Source organism: Homo sapiens, chromosome 12 (assembly GCF_000001405.40).
Source record: "Homo sapiens chromosome 12, GRCh38.p14 Primary Assembly".
Lineage (NCBI taxonomy): Eukaryota > Metazoa > Chordata > Mammalia > Primates > Hominidae > Homo > Homo sapiens.
In genome coordinates this window covers 22462884-22487063 of record NC_000012.12, presented here as the reverse complement: position 1 = coordinate 22487063, position 24180 = coordinate 22462884, and the positions used below count along the sequence as shown (strand labels likewise).

Here is a 24180-nt window from a genome sequence, read left to right as displayed (position 1 = left end):
TCCATCTTAAATTAATTTTTGTATAAGGTGTAAGGAAGGGATCCAATTTCAGCTTTCTACATATGGCTAGCCGGTTTTCCCAGCAGCATTTATTAAATAGGGAATCCTTTCCCCATTTCTTGTTTTTGTCAGGTTTGTCAAAAATCAGATAGTTGTAGATGCGTGGCATTATTTCTGAGGGCTCTGTTGTCTCTTTATCACAATATTGAGTAATAATTGCCATTCACAAGTTAATTCTGCAGTTTAAGGAAGGCTTAAATTTTGCATCTTTTTCTTACACTACACACTCTAGTTCTACCAACATTCTCGGCATTTCCTTAAAATGTCATTTAAGAAATATTCTATTAAAAACAATAAATTAAATGAGCTTCTGTCTTTAAACCAAACTGTCAGTGATTCTAAAATCATCAGCCATTCATTTGTATAGGATGTTAGAGAGCAGATGTTTAATTATATTGAGTATTTTCCTGAAAGGAAAATAAAATAACCTAAATGCACAGGTTATACCTGTGGTTGAAAAAATGCAATGTGCTAGTCCTCAGCAGTTGTATTTATTTGAAGTCATGACTGATAGCTAATGCCTTGTCTTGGCTTATAAGAAGTTGGTTTAAAATGAATTCATTAGTTTTCCCTTATGTAGAAATACTGGTTCTGCTAATGCTCTGGCACTGATATGGGGAAAGGAAACTGGATTAGGATTAAAGCTTCACCTCTAGACTTTCCTGAACAAACTAGAGTGCAGATCAGTCAGGAACCAACGATACGAGAGCAGTGTAGTAGCTGGGAATGAGTGACCACAGTGAACGGGCTGAAGTAGAGCTGTCCCTTAAGCAAAAGCTTCAGAGTGTGCTTTGCAGTGTTTTTTTTTTTTTTTTTTCCATTCAAGCCTGGTTTTAAAAAGACAGGATAAGTAGCAGGTCAAAACTAGGGATCCTAAGTACAGGATTCTCACTTTATTAAGTAACCCATCCCATAGAGAAATTTGAATATAAGATGTGTATTAGGAAAACCAGGACTTAACAGGACTTAAGTATAATAACTTTGGTTATTTTAGAAATGTTTTGATAGCTATCTGCATTTGACTCGTATAATGCTTAGTTGCAAAGTACTTGTTTTCTTCATTAAATTTTTAAAATGAATCAAAAAAAAATTTGGAGAATGTAGGAGAGTAGAAGGAAGAGAAGATTCCTTATGATCTCACTATTCAGGGATAATCCCTGTGTACATTTCATATTTTAAATGCTTTCATAAATTTTAATACTTTTATTTTTATGCCTTATGTATACCACTAATATTGAAATTTGTGTGAGCTGTTTAGTTAAAAATTGCTTCAGTTTTCATCCTTTTGTACCCTCTTATAACACATTGGCTTTGGATTCAAACAAACTGAAATTCAAACATGAGGCCTGCTACTTAGTGCTTAGTATGACTTTATGAAATAGATGTTTTGGTTTTTCAAAAAAGTTAAAACTATCATAGGAAATTAGAAATCTTAGAGTATGCCTGTTTTTGACTTACTATTTTTCTTTTTTAATACTTTTTTACATTAAATTAAAAAATTATTACACTTGGATTTTTTTTAATTTTGGGGGGTACCTAGTAGCTGTATATATTTATAGGGTACATGAAAATGTACAATTAAATTATCAATTATAGTCACCTTGTTGTGCTATCAAACGCTAGGTCTTATTCATTCTTTCTATTTTTTTGTACCCATTAGCCATCCCCACCTTCCCTCCAGCCTGCCACTACCCTTCCCAGCCTCTGGTAACCAAAATATTTTTTTCTTTGGGAATTTTTTTTGTGGTTATATTTGTCAACCAGTGGGAAAATGTCATCATTATCATCTAACCATTTTTTAAAAATGTTGTATCCCAGAGAAAAAACTTTGGGGTGATAGTGATGTTTGTCAGGTGGTAAGTCATCAAACAAATAAATTGGTGCAAAATGACTTTGCAATTGGTAAGTCTTTTCTCTCATAGGAAAAATGTATGGTTCTGATTTCATGGTCATTTTCAATTCTTATCAGCCTTAGTGGTACTTTTGTAGCCTACAGCAGTAGAAGTTGGATAGTTCGTATACAAGTACTGTGTATGTAATATCAGTTACATAATTATTTTTGAAAAAATTGGTACATTTTTAAAGAATATCTTATTTTTTTATTTATTTATATAGGCTTGAAGAAAATTTGCCTACACGTTGTGGATTTTGTCATATACCATATGATGAACTGAATATGCCATTTCCAGCTCATCTCACATATTGCTATAACTGCAGGAAACAAAAAGTTCCTGATGTTCTGTTTACAACTATAGACCTCCCAACAGATGCAACAGTTATTGGAAAAGGTTGTCTTATTCAAGCAAGGTATGTTTGTGAAAACAACACTCGGTGTCCCTGAAAAAGTATGAGATAGGGAGCCGTAAACCTATTTTTAAGTGTCAGCTTTACTGTTTCCTACCTGTTTGATCCTGCACAAACTGGACAATTCTGCTGGAACTTTGTATTTTATTGCATGTAAAAAAAAAACCCTCTGTGTAAAACTCAAATAAGTTTGTGTACAAAAGCAGTTTTTAACTTTAAATTCTACACAAATATTTGTCATTTTGGGAATTATTAACCTGCCAAAGGCTAGGGATGTGACTAAGTATAGATTGCTTCAATTACATTCAATATGTAACACATTTTAGAAGTTGACTCTCTTTTTTTCTTTTAAAGAACAGTGCCATGAAGTGTTTCTTTTACTGCTTTAATTAGCTGGTAAGAGTTCCTTTTAAAATGCACTGGAGTAGGAAATCCTAATTGGGGAACTCATGACAACAGCTGCCAGGTTACCAAATCCATCAGGTACTTCTGTCCTCATCTTAGTTCTGACATCTCAGCAATAGTGACACCATTAATTATTTTCGCCTTGAAATTCCTTTGACTTCATGATGCTACACCTTCTATGTTTTCCTACCTTTATGTATAATCTTCATCCTCCTTGATGACTTCTCATTTCTTGATCCTTGAGAGCCATGGGTTTGGACCCTCTGCCCAAAGCTCTCTCCTTAGTTGAACTCATCAACTTATATAGATCTATGTGTCTGTGACTCCCAGATTTGTAACTCTAGTCCGGAACTTTCTTTTGAGCTTTAGACTTATACCTGTCTACTTCATACCCCATTTTGATAAGCCATAGGCATCTCATACGCGTTCCACATTGAACTGCTGATTTTCTTCACTTTTCTTATTAGCCTTTTCTGTTTTAATGAATGGTACCTTTCTCTATCCAGTTCTTCATGCCAAATTTGGTATTCTTTGGCACTGTCCTCTTTCTCAACCTCCCCACATCAAATTTATTACAAAGTCCGTTGATTTTTCTTCTAAAATGTATTTCTAATCCATTTATTTTTTTCCCTCTTGAATCTTAGACCTTCCATTTGGGATTGTTTTCCTTTTGCCTTAAATGTACGCTTTAGTATTTCTTTTGATGGTCTGCTGGTGGTGAGCTATTTTTTTTGTCTGTCTGAAAAATGTGTTTATTTTACTTTTATCTTAAAAAATATTTTGGGCTGGCAGCTATTTCTTTACAGCACATTGAAGTACTCTTTCACCACTGTCTTCTGGCTTTCATTGCTACTGTTGAGAAATAATCTATTAGTCTAATTACTGTCCCTTTGAATGTAGCCTATGTGGCACGAAGTAGATGCTCAAGTGACTTTTGTATTTTTTTTAATGACTAACATTTTCTTCTGCTTTCCATTTATATTGAACACATGCAGTTATAAAACCTAAGATTTTAAATGATATTCTCTAGTGATTTTGGTCATTATTTCATTTTTAGAGATTTTAAGATTTTTTATTTTTCTTTATTGAAATATGATTCTTTAAAATATTTAATTTTTGTGGGTAAACAGGTGTATGTATTTATAGGGTACATGAGCTACTTTGATACAGGCATGTAATACATAATAATCACATCATGGAAGATGGGGTATCCATCCCCTCACGCATTTATCCTTTGTGTTAGAAACAGTCCTGTTATACTCTTTTAGTTATTTTAACTTGTACAATTATTATTGACTGTAGATACCCTGTTGTGCTATCAAATACTAGGTCTTATTCATTCTTCCTATTTTTTTGTACCTGTTATGAAATAGGATTTTTAGTGCAAGTTTATACAATGACAAAAAGCAGAACAGATTATTGATATAACTCAGTAAGCCCATTAGAAACAAGTAAATGTTTTATTCAGCACACTTTTAGCAAGTTTTAAAATTTGGACATTTTTAAAGGTGGTACCAAGAATACTGTTCACTGACTTATTTTCCTTTACAGGTTATGTCGCTTAAAAAAGAAAGCACAGGCAGAAGCAAATGCTACAGCTATCAGTAATCTCTTGCCATTTATGGAATATGAAGTGCATACTCAGCTAATGAATAAACTAAAACTCAAAGGAATGAATGCTTTGTTTGGACTAAGAATTCAGATCACAGTGGGTGAAAATATGTTGATGGGCTTAGCGGTAAGTTTAGATGTTTTTGGTTTTGTTTTATGATTTCCTTAATTATAGTAGATTCTATGTTATGTGATTCAAATAGTCTTTTCAAAGGCTTATCTAAAGACTTTGACATTAAGACCTTTATGGGACGAGGACATTTTAAGAAGTGAAAAATCTGGTGATAGGTTTTCACATATTTTAAAGGGACTGTGATCACAACTTTAATAATTCTATTTCTAAAAATTATCATTTGTCGCTTGCTTAATAAGTTGGCCACAGTTTTTCTGGACTTTATTATTGTTTACATATTGCTAAAACAGGGTTCCTCCATCTCAGTACTAGGGCAGGATACCTCTTTGTTGCAGGGAACTGAGTTGTGCATTGTAGGACGCTTAGCAGCATCCATGGCAATTCCCCACTATAAGCTAGTAGCATCCCCCCAGTTGTGACACACAAGAATGTCTTCAGAAATTGCCAAATGTCCCTTGGTGAGTGGAGCAAAATTACCCCAGGATGTGGATTAATCTTTAGTTTTGATGGAGAAGATAAAGCAAAACATGTGAGACACTATTGGACAGACAATTAAACTTTATCATAAATGTGCACCTGTGGCCAGTGGTAGACTGTGTAATAAAATACAGGTGTTTCTGGCCAGGTGCGTTGGCTCACACCCATAATTCCAACACTTTGGGCAGCTGAGGTGGGAGGATCACTTGAGCCCAGAAGTTAGACCAGCCCGGGTGAGACCACTGTCTCTATAAAAAAAAAAAAAAAAAAAAAAATACACCAGGTGTGCTGGCAGGAAGCTTAAGTGGGAGGATTAATTGAGTCCTGGGAGGTTGAGGCTGCAGTGAACCCTGATCACATCACTGCACTCCAACCGAGGCGACAGAGTGAGGCTCTGTCTCAAAAAAAAAAAAAAAAAAAAAAAGGTGTGTTTCTTAAGTGCCGATGAAATATGAGACAAGAAAAAGCTGTGTCTCAGCTTAATGTTCATTTTGGCTTGTTAGCAAATAAATTCTGACTGGAAAGATGTTAATGAGGAAAGCCAGTGCTGCTTCTATAAGTAGTGTAGGACTCAGAGAACCAGGTGCCTGCAAAAAGTGTATTGATCATATGGAATCTGATGAACCACGTTTATGGAAATTCTCTCATTTTCTAGGTACTTTGCTAACCAGCATTTTGGCTGTGTTATTGGCAGTTTTCAAATTTGAATTCTCTTGCCATCTTTTTGAGAGTGCATAGACATTTAATTTTAAGAAATTTATAGAATTGGACTTTTTTGTCTCTATACATTTGTAGGTCAGATGCACATTTGTTTCCTGTTTCATCTTTCTTTAAGAGCAAAAATGTAAAGTTTTGTATGTAGAGGATAATTGTATGATGATGATAAACTAATTAGGTATTACAGTTTTCTAACGACAGAAATTTGTAATAATTAGGTAACTTGGTTCATATTAAAATATTTGATACATAGGCCGGGCATGGTGACTCATGCCTGTAATCCCAGCACTTTGAGAGGCTGAGGTGGGCAGATCGTTCAAGCCCAGGAGTCTGAGACCAGTCTGGGCAACAGGGCGAAACCCCATCTCTACTAAAAATACAAAAATTACCCAGGCGTGGCTGCTTGTGCCTGTAGTCCCAGCAACTTGGGAGGCTGAGATGGGAGAATCAGCTGAGCCTGGGAGCTTGAGGCTGCAGTGAGCCGTGATTGTGCCACTGCACTCCAGCCTGGCTGACAGAGCGAGAGACCCTGTCTTTAAAAAAAAAAAAAAAATTTCTTTTATACTTAGAGTAACTTGGGGAAAAGTGGTTATTTTAATTCAGTGGTCTAAAAATTTGTATGCCTAGTGAGGACATTACATAAATGTATAATTTGTGCTTGATGCAAGACTGTAATGATTGGTGGGTGCCTATGCATGTCAATTAAGAGCTGGATTCAAATTGAGGGGTTTAAAAAACATTTTGCTAGCTATAACAAACGTTTTTGATGGTTGAGCCCCAGGAAACTAGTTTATGACACTGATGTAATTCAAGACTTGCCTCAAATATTGCTTTTCTGATTCATACTAATCTTTTCTTTCCTTCTTGATCACTAGTGCTGTTAACTACCACTGTTTGACATTTCATCTTTGTGCTTTGTTATAGTTTGTGCACTTAAATCCTAAGTTCTCAAGAGTAGCTTCTTTCTTAGGTGATCTCTGATGAGTGCCGACGAGGTGTCTGGCACTGTGCTATTCTAGAAGGAATGTGATATTATCTTCACTTTACAGGAGGAGAAACTGTGTGCTGTGATAGGTTGAGACTGTAAAGTGATGTGGTTACATGTGTTAGAAATGGATTTCAAATCAGGCCTCTCTGATGCCAGAGTCTGTGTTCTCAGCTGTTCAGGGCTGTTGCTTCGTTAATGAGTGGAGCTAAAACACATTAGAGGTGGTGGACTAAGGCTTCATATGGCATAGAGAAGGGGGTTCCCTGGTTGAATATTAGAGATTGGGTCATGTATACAGTGATGGACACTAATGAACAAACCAGGAGTAAGCACTCTTGAGGAACAATTTTATCTACTATGCAGATTTCTTCATCAATCCCTTTTTAGGATTGGTGTTCACAAAATTGGCAGTTGATTAATTTAAAAAATAATAATAACAAATATCTAGAGTTAAAAGAATTCTTTTCTGTTTCCCATTCCACTCCTTTGATGTTAACAATTTGATGTTTATGCTTCTATTTTTTTTGCTTTGCTTATATTAGCATATTTACACATAAGTGCTCATAAGGATATATATAAATGTTACCTTGTTTTGTATTTCCCATGATAGTTTTCCAGTACTAATGAAATATAGTACTGTTTCAGAGTCAGATATTAAATAGTAATTTAATTAGATATTTAAAATAAATCTGTATCTAATAAACACTTTTCTCTGCTAATTAGGAAGGTAGGGCAATATAGTGAAATGCGTTTGGGTTTTAGAGTGAGAAACACTCAGTTCAGATCGTTTGTCCACATTTATTGACTTGGCTTGAGAAAGTTCCCTGTCCTTTCTGAATTTCAGTCTCTTGCCTTGCAAAAGTTTCCTCTTCACTTTTGCCACCTTTAAAGATAGAGCATCTGCTCATTCATGAAAAATTTATTTTTTAGCAACCTTTAATTTTTTTTTTGCTATTTTTAATTCTAATTATATATTTTTTTAAATTATGAGGTAGGTCCGGGCCCAGTGACTCAGGCCCGTAATCCCAGCACTTTAGGAGGCCAAGGCAGGCGGATCAATTGAGGTCAGGAGTTGGAGACCAGCCTGGCCAACATGATGAAAACCCATCTCTACTAAAAATACAAAAATTAGCTGAGTGTGGTGGTGGGCACCTGTAATCCTAGCTACTCAGGAGGCTGAGGCAGAAGAATCGCTTGAACCCAGGAGTTGGAGGTTGCAGTGAGCCGAGATCACGCCACTACACTCCAGCCTGGGTGAAAGCGTGGGACTTCGTCTCAAAAAAAAAAAAATTGTGAGGTAGAAACATAAAAAATATAATTGGGTATGCAGTGAAAAGTAAATCCGCATTTCGTAACTGTCTCCCACCTACCCAGGGTCCTCCCCAAAAGAAACCAACGCTTATTACCAGTTGTTTTTGTGTGCCTTTCCAGAGATGTCCTATGTATACCCTGATGCTGATTATATTCTTCCTAATGAGCAAAGATCACATTCTTGTTTTTTTTTCCCTTTTTTTCTTTTTTTTGAGACAGAGTCTTGCTCTGTTGCCCAGGCTGGAGTGCAGAGGCATGATCCTGACTCACTGCAACCTCTGCCTCCCGGGTTCAAGTGATTGTCCTGCCTCACCCTCCTGAGTAGCAGGGATTATGGGCACACACCACTACACCTGGCTAATTTTTGTATTTTTAGGAGAGACGGGGTTTCACCTTGTTGGCCAGGCTGGTCTCAAACTCCTGACCTCAAGTGATCTGCCCGCCTTGGCCTCCCAAAGTACTGGGATTACAGGTGTGAGCCACTGCACCCAGCTGTTGACCACATTCTTAAATATGAAAACTTAAGGACTGTTATTCTGTAGATATTTTTTCTGATTATTTCCCCATTATTTTTTACAAGTCTGCCACAGGTGTGTATTTAGCAGCTTTACCAACTCCTGGTGGTATTCAGATTGCTGGGAAGACTCCTAATGATGGCTCATATGAACAACACATCTCTCATATGCAGAAGAAGATAAATGACACAATTGCTAAAAACAAAGAGTTATATGAAATCAATCCTCCAGTAAGTAAAACAAACCTACATTGTGAATGTATCAGTTATTGTTTATTAGTATATTTTTAGGTTATCTTATTGAGGACACAAGATTTTTTTTTCACTGTTTAGCTCTCCTTATTACTCATTCTTTCACCTCCCTTTATGTCTTTGCTCAACTGTCTCCTTTTCGGGTAAGCCTACTCTAACGATCCTATTTAAAAATTGTGACTTCATTTTTGCCACTTCCTATGACTTTTCCCTCTTTTATTGTTTTCTATAGCTCTTATCTTTGTGAGTGTGTGTGTGTGTGAGTGTGTGTGTGTGTGTGAGTGTGTGTGTTTTGTTGGTCTTTTGCCTGTTAGTACTGGTAGAATGAAGCTTCATGAGGGCTTTGTTTCTATTGCCTAGAAAAGTTCCTATTGGTGGTAGTCTCTTAGTATTTGTTGAATGATGAAATAAATGGTTTAAAATGTTCTTTGTTAGTAAAAAGAGATTCTTATTGGTGGTAAAAATGTGAAAGAATATAGTTTTTCAGTTACAGTTTCTTTTTTTACAAATTTGCTCCCAGTCATTTCCTTTAATCAGTCTTTTTACCAACTTTGCAATAAGTATCACAATGCTGCCTCCTCTGTGGATGACTGATGGCAAGAGTCTGAATTGAAAGAAAAATGGGTTGGAATTAGAATGAAACTATTTGTTTTTATGAGTCTCTGATAATGAAAGACTTTCACAAAAGGAAAGTATAACATTCACACGTATACATATGTAACAAACCTGCACATTGTGCACATGTACCCTAAAACTTAAAGTATAATTAAAAAAATAAAAAAAGAAAGTATAACATTATTGCTTTTATTATTTTAAACGTCTTATCTAATTTTGGCTGGTCTTCTGGAACAGTGTGTCTGGATTGTTGCGTCACATGTATAGCTTTCATCATATTATTCTAGCATAGTTGTTAATTTGGGAGGAATTTTAAGGTTATGACCTACAGCTGCACTATTCATTATTCACTGTGGTAGCCGCTGGCCACATGTGACTTTTGAGGACTTGTGACTAGTCTGAATTGAAATGTGTAGTAAGTATAAAATATACACTGGATTTTAAAGATTTACTGTGAAAAAGTAGTGTAAAATATGAATATTTTTGTATTGATTTTGTGTCAAAAATTTAATATTTTGGATATACTGAATGAAATAAAATGTTTTATTAAAATGGATTTTATCTGTTTCTTTTTACTTTATTATGTATGTGGCTTGCTTTATATTTCTATTGAACAATACTGACTTAGGGCTTCTTTAAAATGAATGCAAATGTTGATGTGTTAACATATTCATATTTGAAAAATAGACTTTGTAAAAGTTCTCTGTGCACCACTCTACTGACTGCTTATTTTTATAGTACATTATTTTTATTTGGTAGTTATATTTTGATATTTGAACATCTGTTTATAGTATGCCACTTGGGAAAAATGATTTGTAAAGCTTTGTGTTAGGGTTTCATATATTCTTCATTTATTATTTCTAATGATATGAGCTGAACTTTTTTACTTACTTAATAGTGTTTCTCACCTCTGTAAATCCATCCTGACCTCTAACAGGAAGAATGGACTCTTCCTCCATTGTGTACTTGTTGTACCTGTATGTACTTGTATAGAAACTGTTACATATTATTGTACTTAGTTTTTATATATCTGTCTTCCTTTACTATAATGTAAGCCCTTTGGAGACAGGGATGTGTTTAAATAAGACTATGAATTAAGTTACTTCATCCATTCAGTACTTATTGAGCTGCTACTATGTGTCATACAGTTTACATTTGGAAGGAGGGAGTAAATCTATTATGATTTTAAAAATTTTAACATATATGAATTTCATGTGTTGAGGATGACTGTATTTTCACAACAGTACTCATCAGTTTATGCATCTTCTAATATGTCTTTCCTTATTGTAGATACTGACTACATTATAGTCTTTTAGCATAATCTCTCAGCATTTTTTTTGACAGAGTCAGTGTACAAGGTTGATTACCAGGCCACTATACACATTACAGTGTTGTGTTATGTCCACCCTGAATATGTAGATCAGAGTGTTCCTTCTCTTAGGATGATAGCCCTCACTGAAATAAATGCTGCTGTTTAAATTTTTTGTCAATACATTAAAAAATGTTTCTAATACAAAGGTGTAGTACCACTTAAGCTTTATGGAGATAATCAAAGGTATCAAAATAAGATGCACATCTCTCAGAATAACAGTACTAGTGATGAAATTTCAGTATGAATCTAGAACATATTAAATACCAGACAGTTATATTTGTTAAGTCTGTGGCATTGTGAACAAAGGCATAACAGAATTTAAAACTATTGTAAAATTATAAAAAGTAGTGTGGTATCTAGTGGGAATAACGTTGCACTGTGTGTCAAAAGACTGACCTAGACTGGCTCTACACTTGCTAGTTTTCCAAATTTAGGCAGACTACTAATTTACTTCTGAATTACAGCTCTTTTCCATTTTGTAGTTATTATAATGTTAACTTTATAGAGGGCAGATTAATTTGGAGTACAAATAAGATAAATTGATGTGAAAGTGCTCCATAGATCATTACATTATGAAATTGTGCAGTGGTAGTCTTTTATCTAAGGTGCATACTACCAATGAACATTTAAAACTATATATTTTTGAAAAATTTTATGTACAATTTCCTTGTTTATTAAAAAGACAATTCTGTTGCATCAGCAATAGGCTATGGCTTTTGCTTTTGCGTTCACGTATTCATATTCTTCCAGCATTCCTTGTGGCCGACAGACACTTAGAACCCCTAGTGATCTTTGGCTATGTAACAGCAAAAAGCTCACTAAGCCATACAGTATTGCACCATACACTGACCTTAAAAAGATCATTATTGTAAGTACCAATGTTTATTTAGCTTAATAAATTGAATAGCAAATATGTGCATAGTATAAGTATATATGTATTCATACTCATACATTGATCATATTTCACATTTTGCTATATGGAGCTTTGAAAGTGGATAAGAAAATATATAAAAGATTAGAATTCTTTCTAGGAACATAAGTCTTTAAATTTTTAAGGCCTATTAGGACTTTTATAATGCTGAATAGAAAATATGCACACACAGCAGTACTGGATTTCAGAGCTGTAAGGACTGCCAATTCCATACACATTGTAGTGTCCTGTGTGTACACTAGATGTCAGTTTTATCTTGTTATGTCTGTGACAGTTATATATATTTTTCTGATTCGTGTATCATTAAGGCTGCCATATCTGCTATAAAAGTTTAGTTTTAAAGGTTATACTTAAGTACGGACTTCACTGAGTATATTTTACAGGCTTTTTCTCCACAGGTAGGTGTCTACTAATATAAAGATGTAAAATTTAAACTGGAAAAGACAATCTCATATGATATAAAACAATTATATTTCTTTTAGGAGATATCTGAAGAGATTATAGGATCACCCATCCCAGAACCTAGGCAACGCTCAAGACTTCTAAGATCTCAATCAGAAAGCTCGGATGAAGTTACAGAATTAGACCTTTCACATGGGAAAAAAGATGCTTTTGTTTTGGAGGTAATGTGGCATTGGACTAATTTCTTAAAGGTTTTGGAAGCTAAGATACACATTTTTTCACGTGCTAAATTAATATGATACTTTTATATCATTACAACTGTTATAAATATTTAAAAAGTTATTATATAAAAATACAACAAACTTGAAAATAACAGAACTTGGTAACATATGTTTGTTCAATACCAGGTCACTGATACAATAATGCAGATGGTTCTGAAAAAGTTAATGTATGGGTTGAAATAATGATAGAATAGTATTAAACCTTTGAAGTTATTTTTGTAAACTTGAATGAATTTAAATGAAGTGCCATTCTTTAACTTACTATAATTATTACCTTTTTTGTATATTACTGTAGTTATAACATTTTTTAGTATAATCACTGTGAATTCTGAGTGTAGTATTTTCTTACTGAATTCAAAAGGTATAATTGATCCATCTTTATAAAAAGATACTAAGAACACTTTAGTAACTTTCCCAGAGAGTAAATGTCACATGAAAAGTTTATGGAGACTCCTTCCTCACAGATCTGCTTCCTCTGCACTCCCCTGTAGAATGGTTAGCTCCCAAAGAGATAGATTTTTCTTTTTCATATTGAAGGAAAGGAAAATAAATGATTAAGATGTAAGTTGAGAGAGAGAAAAATCAGATGCTTTGATCTTGGTGTAGCAGGAAGCTGGTGGTAGAATTGTGTTGGGATGGGATTGGAGGTTTAAAGAGTCAGGAACGGTGCCAGTGGCTGTAACAAGGATCTATGAGAGACGCACAGGCCTAACCAAGGTGAGAGTGTCAGTTTGTAGAAAACTCAACTTATATGGTTATTTGCCCCCCACTTTTTCCCCACATTTCTCTACAGTCTGAGAATGGAAAATATGTCATGGAAAATATCTCAGGTCAAGGAGGTTAAAAGTTCCAGGGTACTATTTACAGCAATGCTACTCAAAGTGTGATGTGCCTACTTGTGGCGTCAGCTCTACCTGGGAGCTTGTAAGAAATGCAAATTCTTGGGCCCCTACCTCAGACCTAGTAGATGAGAATTTCAAGGTGGAGCCCAGGAATCTGTTTAACAAACTTTCCAGGTGATGCCAAACATTACCTGAAGTTTGATCTAGGGCATTATTGATAAGTCTGATCTTGGGATCCTGGCTAAGTAGAGAGGCACATGAGAACAAAGTGCTTCAAACATGGGCAGAGGACAGAGGGCAAGTGGAATATCCAGTAAGAGAGGACAAAGAGACAGGACTGTAGTTGGAGAATGCTCGAGATCCTGGGTGTGGAACGTTTTGGGGAATAATGGGTTGAGGTATGGCTGTGACTGTGGGTAGCCACGTGAAGTGGAAGTGAAAGTGGTTCTTGAAGTCCTGAGGGTGATGTGGGAAGAAGCTTAGCGAGTCTGCAGGTTAGGACTTAGAAACTGAGGTGCAGATGAATGTCAGCGCCTGTCCAGCTGGATAGTTTCCCTATTTATTATTCACAGTGGAATATGGTGATGTAAGAAGAATAGAATTTAGACCTATTTATTTTATTAAAAAAATAGAGTTTAGACCTATTATTAGATATGTCTTTAAATTTATCTGTACCTAATTCCATTGTAAAGGAGTTCTGCATTTAGTGAAAGGATCTCATTACACTTTATTAATTTAAACAAATTAGAATAATGATTGCTTATGATGTCTTTGTCTTTAGAAACATATTCTCATAAAGGCTTGAGAAAGAGCTAGTTTTCTTTTTTAACTTAGTGTACTTTGTACGTAAAATATTTCACTTGGAAGTATTTGTGGTTATTACTGTGGAGAAATTTACTGATATTAGAATTTTTTTCTTGTTACATATTTTTACTTAGGAAAAATGACTCTGCCTTTTCTTGACTCTATTAATAGTTCTTTTAAAACGTGAAATAATTATGCATTTACTACTTATAAAATAGTTTTAATCTCTATTTTAAGATTGATGACACAGATGCCATGGAAGATGTCCATTCTCTACTTACTGATGTTCCTCCTCCTTCAGGTGAACAAAAAAGTTATCTTTGAGATGAAACTAGTTTTACATATAAATGTTTTAGCTCATAATTGTTACAGTACTAATTTTACTTTAAAAGAAGGACTTATCACAGTGTCACAGCTTGTCATGTACTTTGCTACTCCAAGGTAGAAAACATACCTTAAAAATACTTATGTTAGAACTTAGGTGGAAGTGATTTTTAGTCCTTTTATATTTATACACGGAAAAAAAAACCTGTGATAATTTATTAGGATGGTTTAAAGTCTCCTGCAGGTATAGTTTTAGAAGAAAAAAAATGAAGGGTGTTATAGTTAGAACTTCATATAATAATTGAAAAATGTCATTTAACACAAAAATCAATGAAATATTATCATATATTTTGATTACAATTTATTTTGACAGGCTTTTATAGTTGTAATACAGAAATTATGCCCGGTATAAATAATTGGACCTCTGAAATACAGGTAAACCTTTTTTTCTTAATTTTAAGCACATAACACATAAGTTATTTTAGTAAGTTCCATTTAAATATTTGTCTTTTTTTTTTTACCTCCTTATTGCAATTAAAATACCATCCTTATTCTACTACATTAGTTAGTATTGTTCATTATTTGGCAATTTATCAACTGTTAAAATATTTAGTTAAAAATAATAAAATGACATGTTATGTCACCCCACATTTAGATGTTCACTTCAGTAAGAGTAATCAGATTAAGCAGCCTCAACCTGACTAATCAAGCTCTCAATAAGAACTTTAATGATCTCTGTGAAAATTTGCTCAAGGTAGGAACCTTCTGACTAAATTTTATTTCATGCGTCTATAATAATGAAATTTTAAGTGTCTATATTGCTGTATTGTCTGTAATACCTTACACAGTTGTGGGCTGAATCATTCTTACCTACTTACCTTACCTCTATCAGCGGGTGAGATACTAAAGTTGTCCTCTCCCCCTTACTATATCAAATTATAAAAGAAATAGTTTTAGTTAATAGCTTTAACTTCCATAAAAATCTAGTGTATATGTGTATATTTAAAAAAACTTACTATATTATTTTTTGTGACTTATTGACGATTAAATCTTATTGTCTACTTAAATATTAAAAAGTATATCGTTAGTGTAAAAATACACAAAACAAAAGTGGACCAGTTTTGTTTTATTTTTAACTCTCCATTTGCTATAATATAATGTACATTAAAAAAATCAGCTTTTAAAAATTTTTAAATAAAAAAGTGACATTACTAATATTTTCTATTGTGTAGAGCCTGTACTTTAAACTACGATCTATGATCCCCTGCTGCCTTTGCCATGTAAATTTTACAGTATCTCTGCCTGAAGATGAATTAATTCAGGTAATTAAGATTTAGTCCATTATTAGTCTTTATCTGATCTGTTTTATTATTTTCATTATCTGTTTATCATAATTTTGCCGTAATTAAATAAACATATACTAGTTTACCTCACAATATTAAAAAATATATGTTAGTATGCATTAGGCCATGTGTGTTTCTTTTTCTGAACTTTAGTTATCTGAGGGGGTAAGCACACGTATGCTTCAGCATGTATACAGTAGGATCTGTACCCATCATGTGGGATTTCACCAGTTCCCATTTTTTAGAGAAGGTTCTTGAGCTCTTTCTGGAATATCTAGATTTAGGTATAACTGTTTGGTATAGTTGTAGTTTGTGTATGATTTGAATTTATACATAATTCTGGTTGAGGATTTTAACCAGAAAAGGTATTTGGTGTAGGTTGTTCCGTGGTACTGAAAAAAATATGTAAGAAACTTAGTTTTGGCAGTGATTATTTTGCTAACCATTATTGTTTTTATAATTCTAGGTTACAGTCACGGCAGTCGCAATCACTTTTGACAAAAATCAGGCTTTACAAACCACAAAAACCCCTGTTGAAAAGTCATTGCAAAGAGGTAAATCTTTACTGAATAGGAAGTTCAGTTTGTGTTTGTCTGTGTTATGGTTCAGTGATAAAATATACAGGACAGGTGGATTCAATAAATTACTTATTTCTTGAAGAATATTTGCTGCTTTTTCTGTTCATCTTTATGAAGATAACTGTGTGGATAAGCGTATGGCTGACTTGATATTTTTCACACGCGACTGGGTGGTATTTGACTGATGTTTACATAGAGAATGCTGCTGGTTTTTTAGACTTAAATTATAGCCTATTAATTCTGCAGTAATATAAGGGTTTCTATACTAAGATCTCTGGCAAGGTCTTCAAGGCATCTGAGGACCTACTGATGTAGTAAGCACAATTGTGTGCCTGTGTATTATTTTCAGGACAAGTTCCATAGTGTTCAACAGATTCACAAAGGTGGCCTTAATCCAGTAAAATTTAGGAAGTAGTCTTAATATATATTCTGAAGAAATCCAAATTATTGGAAACTGTGTGTTCTGAAAAACACATAATGGGGGATACTATACTTTCTTGTATAGTTTGAATGATTTACTGGCTAAATGAAATATTCCTGATTAGTCCTAAACTTTTAAAAGTTGATTACATTCTACATGTATAGCATTGATAAGATTTGAGCAGTGAGTTAATGTCAGGTAGATGTATTAAATGATTATGTGTTCAGATATTTATCAAAGAAGACATGTAACCGGTTTAAGTATCACAAAAGCTAGTAATGGACAAAGTATAGGATATTAATTATTGTCTAGCATTTATTATTTGCAAAGCACTGTGCTAAGTGAGTTACAGATATTAATCTCTTAAAGCTTCACAAGAGTCATACCAGGGAAGATAGCACCAGTCTCAGCATCATGCAGATGAATGGTTTCCATGGGAGAAATCAAGGAGAAAATGACCAGAATAAATTGGGGTGGGGAGATGGAGCTGAGAATATGTATATGTATGTTGTCACAGATTCTTAATTTTAAAAAATTAATAATAGATCATTACTAAATAACTGATATTTTCTTGCCTTTCTAGCCTCAACAGATAATGAAGAACTTTTACAATTTCCACTGGAACTGTGTTCAGATTCACTTCCTTCTCATCCTTTTCCACCAGCTAAAGGTTGGTTAAGTGAGGGAAAAAGCAAACACAAATCCTGGTTTCTAGTTCCTTTCACTGCTTCTTCATTATAGGAAATCTTACTAACCTTGAGGTGAAAATTTATCCTTCATTCCCTCATTATATGTTTCTTCATATTCATAAAGGGGAGAAATTAATGTTCCTTTTATTTTAATTTCTGAAGTAATTTCATTCTAAGTTATTAAGGTAATTTTTCCTATGATATTCTATTCTCATACCTTAATGTATTAAAGCTTTATTTTCAAAGGTTTGGATTTCCCACTGTAACTATTCACACATAGAATACTTGATATTTTATATTATATTTGGTAAGTTTTTTCCAGCAACAATTAAACCTTCACAAAAAGTTTTGGATTTTCATGCACAACAGAATGCTTTTTTTTTTCCAGAAGATACATGAAGAGGTTTTGAGTGGGAGTAGTACAAGTGAGAAAGCGATGAGCTTCCTGTCTTTGCTGTGGCAATAATTGAAGAACATTGTTATGTACTTATATAAGACACTGCCATGTTTTTTTTCCAGTGCAAATTGATAGCTCCTTAATTTAATAGCAATAAATCTATTTTGATCTGCATAATCTTTGGGGAAAAGTGGGAGGTATTGTTTTCCATTTCTCATCTGATTTTAGTATGATTTTTATTACAAAAAAATTTAAAATTACTATGCCTTATTTTGTAGCATTATGTATTAGATAAATGTAGTATGTGTTTTTCACTAAATTTATTTTGAGAAATGATAGTTATTTGAAATGAGCTATTCAACTTTTATGTCTTATAATACAATGGATATTATTTTATGATTCCTACTTGTTATTTGATACCAAATTATGTATAATACAGAATAGTTTTATATTCACTTTACATATATGTCAATAGAATCTTTATTAAATCAGTACAAAGTCTGTTTATATAGATAAATAGATCTTGTCTCATATTTCAAAGACGAAAAATAAGCTGCTTCCAGATTCTGAACTTTGTAACGTAGTAACTGTGGTCCTTTTTCCTTTTTGTGATCACCCAAAATTCTGATTTAGAACTCCATAGAGAATTGTAGCATATCTCAATGTCCTTGAAAGAATAGAGAGGAAAAATCAAATTCAAAGGTAATGTGAGTTCAGATTTATGAATTAAATACAGCTTCCAGGCAGAAAGCAGAACTGTCAAGAGTCTTCTTTGGGCCGGGCCTGTTGGCTCATACCTGTAATCCCAGCACTTTGAGAGGCTGAGGCGAGAAGATCGCTTGAATCCAGGAGCTTAAGACCAGCCTGGGCAACACAGTGAGACCCCAGCTCTACAAAAAATAAATAATGAGCTGCATGTGGTGGTGTGCACCTGTGATCCTAGCTCCGTGGGAGGCTGAGGTGGGAGGATTGCTTGATCCCAGGAGGTTAAGGCTACAGTGAGCTGTGATTGTGCCACTGCACTCCAGCCCAGGCGATAGGGGGAGACCCTCTCTCAAAAAGAAGAAAAGTCTTTCTTGAATTCACTATACAGCAAGTTTTTTTTTCTTTAACATCTACTTTATACAGAAATTTGTATTTATTCAGGGTTAGTTCCAAATCACTTCTAGGTATAATTTCATTTATCCTTATCCTGCAATAGGGGCCAAAAAAAAAAAAAAAAGCCCTAAAACCTAATCGACAAAGGTTTGATTGATTGTTATTCTGTAGGAAAAGGTATTTGTGGACTTGGGGTCCCTGTTAGCTCTGTTTTACTATGTTGTTAATACCTACTGAATTCTGCAGAAGATTAGATTTCAGCTCTCTAAGTTTGCCTTGTCTATAAGGACAACTTTCCACTTCTGCAATAGCTTTCAAAATGTTTTCAAAGGAATTATAACTGGTGCTTATGTGATCGTTACTATACGGTATCCAAATGATATTTTGTGGACTAAAAAACAAGAAAATAAGAATTTGAGTAGAGTAAGTCCTATTTGAACAGTACCTAAAATATTTGCAGCTCATTTTAGGGAGAATTGAGAGGGACCGTGAGGTAGGTTGGAAAAGCAACTGACCTGTTTTCTCAGTTCTGCTATGGATTAGGCATGAGAACTTGGACCAATTGCTTAACCTCTTTGAGCCTCAGTTCGTCCTTTGTAAAATGTGAAAAGATTCTCTCTAACCTTTAAAATTCGTTGGGTTTCTATAGTTTATGGTTCTTCAATTATTAACATATTCCCATTTTGAAAAGTAAATCAAAAGCTAAATTAGACCCCAAGGTCACACTGAGCGTCTGTATTTAATTTAAGTGTGTTCAGCTGGGCGCGGTGACTCATATCTGTAATCGTAGCACTTTGGGAGGCCGAAGCAGGCGGATTGCTTGAGCCTAGGAGTCTCTTCTCTACAAAAAATACAAAAAATTAGTCATGCATGGTGGTGTGCCTGTGGTCCCAGCTACTCAGGAAGCCGGGTGGTAGAATCACCTGAGCCCAGGGAGGTTGAGGCTACAGTAAGCTGTGATCATGCCACTGCACTCCAGCCTGGGCGACAGAGTGACGCTGTCTCAAAAAAAACAGAATAAAAAATGATTTCAAATAACTTTTAATCAATTAAACCAATAATTTTAATTTTAAATTCTGCTCCTCTGAACCATAGAGGTTTGTCAGAGGTACCTCTTGGCCTGCCAGGAGGCAAAGTGAAAGGGAGCAGAGAAGGATGGGATTGAGGGTAGGTCTCTGGATCCCCTACTTTTCTGAAACAGCAGCTTTGATTCCATGTTTTTATATATCCATCTTCTGTATGTGATTTCACTTGAAGAAAGGGTCTCAAAGAGTTTGAAAACCATTGATTGATTATGCCACCCTTTATTGTCATCATCATCATCAGACCATCACATCTAATACGAATATATGTAAAACTTTCTATACTAAGTGCTTAACTGTGAAACCTATGTGCTTTTCCTTGAATACTGCATTTAAAATAATCAGTAAACACTTAAAAGTGTATCTGTACCTTTCTGCCAATATTTCTGTAGTTTTGTAAATTGTGGTTTGTGTTGCGTGCTTATTTATTGTCTTGTGCTTCAAGTCTTTTCAGGAGGACATGGGCTAAATACAATTTTTAAAGCTATCTCAAAATGTTTTGGAAAATTTGAGGGTAAGATAGGTTTTGAAAAGGTCTGAAAAATATAATAGAGTCTTAAAAATGGAGTAATTGCGTGTTGTAACATGAAAGAAGGCAATGTCTGGAAAAATTCAAAAATAGCAATTTAGCGGAAATAGGAAGAGAGGAAGGTAAGAGTGTTAGGGATAAATGCTCAAAAGATTTCTCTGTTTTTTTAAAATATGCAACCATAAGAGGCTTAAAAGTCAGTTACTAATACTGATAAATAAAAGTATAGTTTTTTAATCATTTTGTTAAGTTAAATAAGGTGATAGCTTTTTTTTTTTTACTTTCAGTAACTTTGAATTCCAGTGTATATTTCATGTTTTTAATCACAAATAGGATGATTGTTAAAATTTTTTATTTCCTTTTATATTGACTAGGGGATTAGTTTCAAGAGCTAAGCATAGTATGTTTATTAATATTTCCATCTTTTTACTTGTAGATAAACCTTTCATTGTCTTTTTGTGTTATTGAAAATGGGTGAATGTCATGTAAAGAAATGTTGCTTCAATAACATGTATCTTAATTCACAGTGTAGAGTAAGCCTGGGCCTGAATTGTCCATCCATGTTCAATTTTTTCTTTCCATCGTTTATTATATTTGGTTTTGTTTTTAAAGGTAGCAGAGTAGTTTGATGTATGTCTCAAATTTATGGTTGATTTGGTGTTACCTTGCTGGTTGTCTTGATTTTTCTGATTTGATATATTAACTGGTGCTGAGCCTAAATAATTTATTTAAGGATAGATGATATGGTATCAACATAAATTATTTATGTTTATTCAAGAGTGTGTTATGAGAAAAATGATAGCTATAGCAAATTTTTAATACAATTTTCATGTGTTTTTCTCATCATTGATATCCAAACCTGAGTTTTTCTCTGAAATGATTTTCAAGAGACTTTAAAAATAATGTGTGTATCTATATAGAAAAAAAGAATGAGCAAAATGGGGGGGAATCTGGGTTGAGGTCTGGGAGAAGAGTAAAAAAAATCAGCGAGATTCTTCTCATAGATTTCAGTTTATCTCAAGAATTTTATACATGTAATTTTTATAAAAGGTTAGCATATTACTTCAGAGAAATATCTAAAGGCTTACATCTTGAGCTATTAGTTGCTGTATTGTAGGGCTTAAGAACTTATATTAGACAAGTGTGTATAAATCATATACTACTTTAAATATATTTCAAGTTCTTAAAAAATATTACCTAAGGTAGGATAATAGTTTTCATTAAAACACTGATCATTTAAAAATTAAAAAGGTTTAATTAAGTCAATTTTAGTTTTAAATACCGTTGAGTGAAACTGTATAGAAGACTCTTTTTTTTTAATACCCACCTTGTTTCCTGCTTTCCTTTTGCTTTTACTAGAGTATTTCCTCGTGTTCAGTGGCATACGCTATAGGCTGGCAGGAATACTCTATTCATTACATTAGCTGCTGACTGCTGTGGCAAGCATAGGTTAAATATAAAAACAAGTTGGCTTATACCCACAATACATTGTACTTCAAAATTAGGTGTCTACGTCAGAAGTTTTTTATTGTAGGCTAGAAGAGTTACTTTTTCTTTGTTAAACCAAATTAGATTTTTTTTCTTTTTAGAGACAGTCTCATTCACAGATTTGATTTTAAAATAGTTTAACTGTTTGAATTTAATGTCTTGCTAACATTATTTTAAAATAGCAATTAGAAGTGTACATTTGTAAAAAATACAGAAGTTATCTTTTACTTTTCCTGCCAACTAACGGTTTGAATTCTTATGACTATATATAATTCCTTATACTAATTAAAAGCATTTTATATATTAATAGTCCATTGCATGTCTGTTATTACTATTTTTTAAAAAATATATTTTGTCACTATGACCAAGTGGCAGCAACAATAAAAAACAGTTAAAATTCTTGATGTTATTGGAGGCCAAATAATCAATGGCAAGTTTTAAAAGGAAAGAGACGCTCAGGGGAAGAGAATGCAAAAAACAGAAACTAACTAGAGGAAAATGTGTGAAAAACTCATCCCAGAAATGGGAAGGAAGGAAGGACGGAAGGCAAGAGAATTGATGGAGAAGTAGGAATAAAGAATCTTTATCTCTGTGGCTTCTTCAAGGCAGCTTGAGGACAGTGAAATCCACAGTTAGAGGAAGAGGGAGTAAAAAGCAAAGGAAAATTGCATTGAGTTACTGACAGAAAACGGATTATTTGGAAGAGAAGCTATAAAAGATAGGAGTGAGAGGGAGATTGCATGCTTGGAAATGGAAGCAGGAAAATGTAAGAAGGGGATTGAAGAAGAAAGACAAGTGGTTTAGAATGTCGTACACCTTTAATTAGAAACTTAAATGACCCAAATAGGGAAGTTAATTGTCTTTGTTATCTAATATATGTACTACCTAGGTATCACAGTTGAATTTTTCCCTTATAAACTGTCCAAATTGAAGCTAGTTCTGTCTTTCTGTGTGCCTTAGTAATTTACAACTGTAATATGGCAGTTTCCTTATCAATTCATCAATATTTGAGTATCGTTATAGATCAGGTTTATACTGAATGTTTAGATATATCATTTGTCTACCCCAGTCATGAAGTTAGATTTTATACTTATAAAGCATAACTAATCAATGCATTATCAATTGATGGAAATTCCTAAAGAAACATAAAACCCAGTTTTGATCATAATAAAACTGAGAATGTTTAAATAGGAAAATAAAACATAAATTATAATGACTCCCAACTGCATATATTTTAATCTGCCAGAGAATCATTTCCAAATTTGTAGGAAGTTTTTTAGTTTTAGTAATTCTTAAAAGACATTCAGATAAGATTTTCTCAAATATTTTTTAATTATTTAGAGCAAAGATGATCTGCAAATTCTAATGATATAAAGTGAATAGATAGTCAAAAGAGGTACTGATCAGTGTAGAAATTTATTCCTGTATTTATCTTAGTTTGTTTGGTACTACTGTGACAAAACACTTGAGACCGTGTAATTTATAAAGAACAGGCATTTATTGACTCAGTTCTGGAGGTTGGAAGTCCCATATCAAGGAACCAGCATCTGGCAGGGGCCTTCTTGCTGTGTTATCACAGGGCAGAAGGGCAAAAAGAGAGCAAGAGGAGATCAAATCTCCCTTTTTATAATGGCACCAATCCCACCCATAAGGGTGGAGACCTGGCCTAATCAGGCCTTAAATGTCCTACTTTTTTTTTTTTTTGAGACAAGAGTCTCCCTCTGTTGCCAAGGCTGGAATGCAGAGGCACGATCTTGGGTCACTGCAACCTTTGCCTCCCAGGTTCAAGTGATTCTCCAGCCTCAGCCTCCCAAGTAGCTGGGGTTGCAGGCGCCTGCCACCATGCCTGGCTAATTTTTTTTTGTATTTTTAGTAGAGACGGGGTTTCACCATATTGGTCAGGCTGGTCTCGAACTCCTGACCTCAAGTGATCCGCCTGCCTTGGCCTCCCAAAGTGCTGAGATTACAGGTGTGAGCCACCGCACCTGGCCTTTTTTTTTCTCTCTCTCTTTGAGACAGGGTCTTACTCTGTCCCCCAGGCTGGAGTGCAGTGCTGCGATCTTGGCTCACTGCAGCCTTTAGCTCCTGGGTTCAAGCGATCCTCCCGCCTCAGCCTCCTGAGTAGCTGGGACCACTAACACCCCCTTGCCTGGTTAATGTTTATCTTTTTTTGTAGTGATGGGGTTTCAACATGTTGCCCAGGCTGGTCTCG

General features: G+C 34.3%; 1 protein-coding gene across 35 annotated transcripts in view; it reads left to right on the top strand.

The window, feature by feature from the left end:
* The window catches only part of C2CD5 (C2 calcium dependent domain containing 5), a 95960-nt gene that overhangs the window by 57479 nt on the left and 14301 nt on the right, over positions 1-24180 (top strand). For 34 of the 35 annotated variants that reach the window (NM_001385330.1, NM_001385329.1, NM_014802.3 and 31 more), the window contains 10 exons: positions 2176-2367; positions 4321-4507; positions 8587-8751; positions 12173-12313; positions 14257-14320; positions 14717-14778; positions 14999-15097; positions 15576-15665; positions 16153-16240; positions 17269-17355. In NM_001385330.1, coding sequence (NP_001372259.1) covers positions 2176-2367; positions 4321-4507; positions 8587-8751; positions 12173-12313; positions 14257-14320; positions 14717-14778; positions 14999-15097; positions 15576-15665; positions 16153-16240; positions 17269-17355 — 1175 coding nt within the window. Of the gene's footprint in view, positions 1-2175; positions 2368-2718; positions 2848-4320; positions 4508-8586; positions 8752-12172; positions 12314-14256; positions 14321-14716; positions 14779-14998; positions 15098-15575; positions 15666-16152; positions 16241-17268; positions 17356-24180 lie in introns of all 35 variants that reach the window. The other variant, NR_169598.1, reaches the window with a different exon arrangement.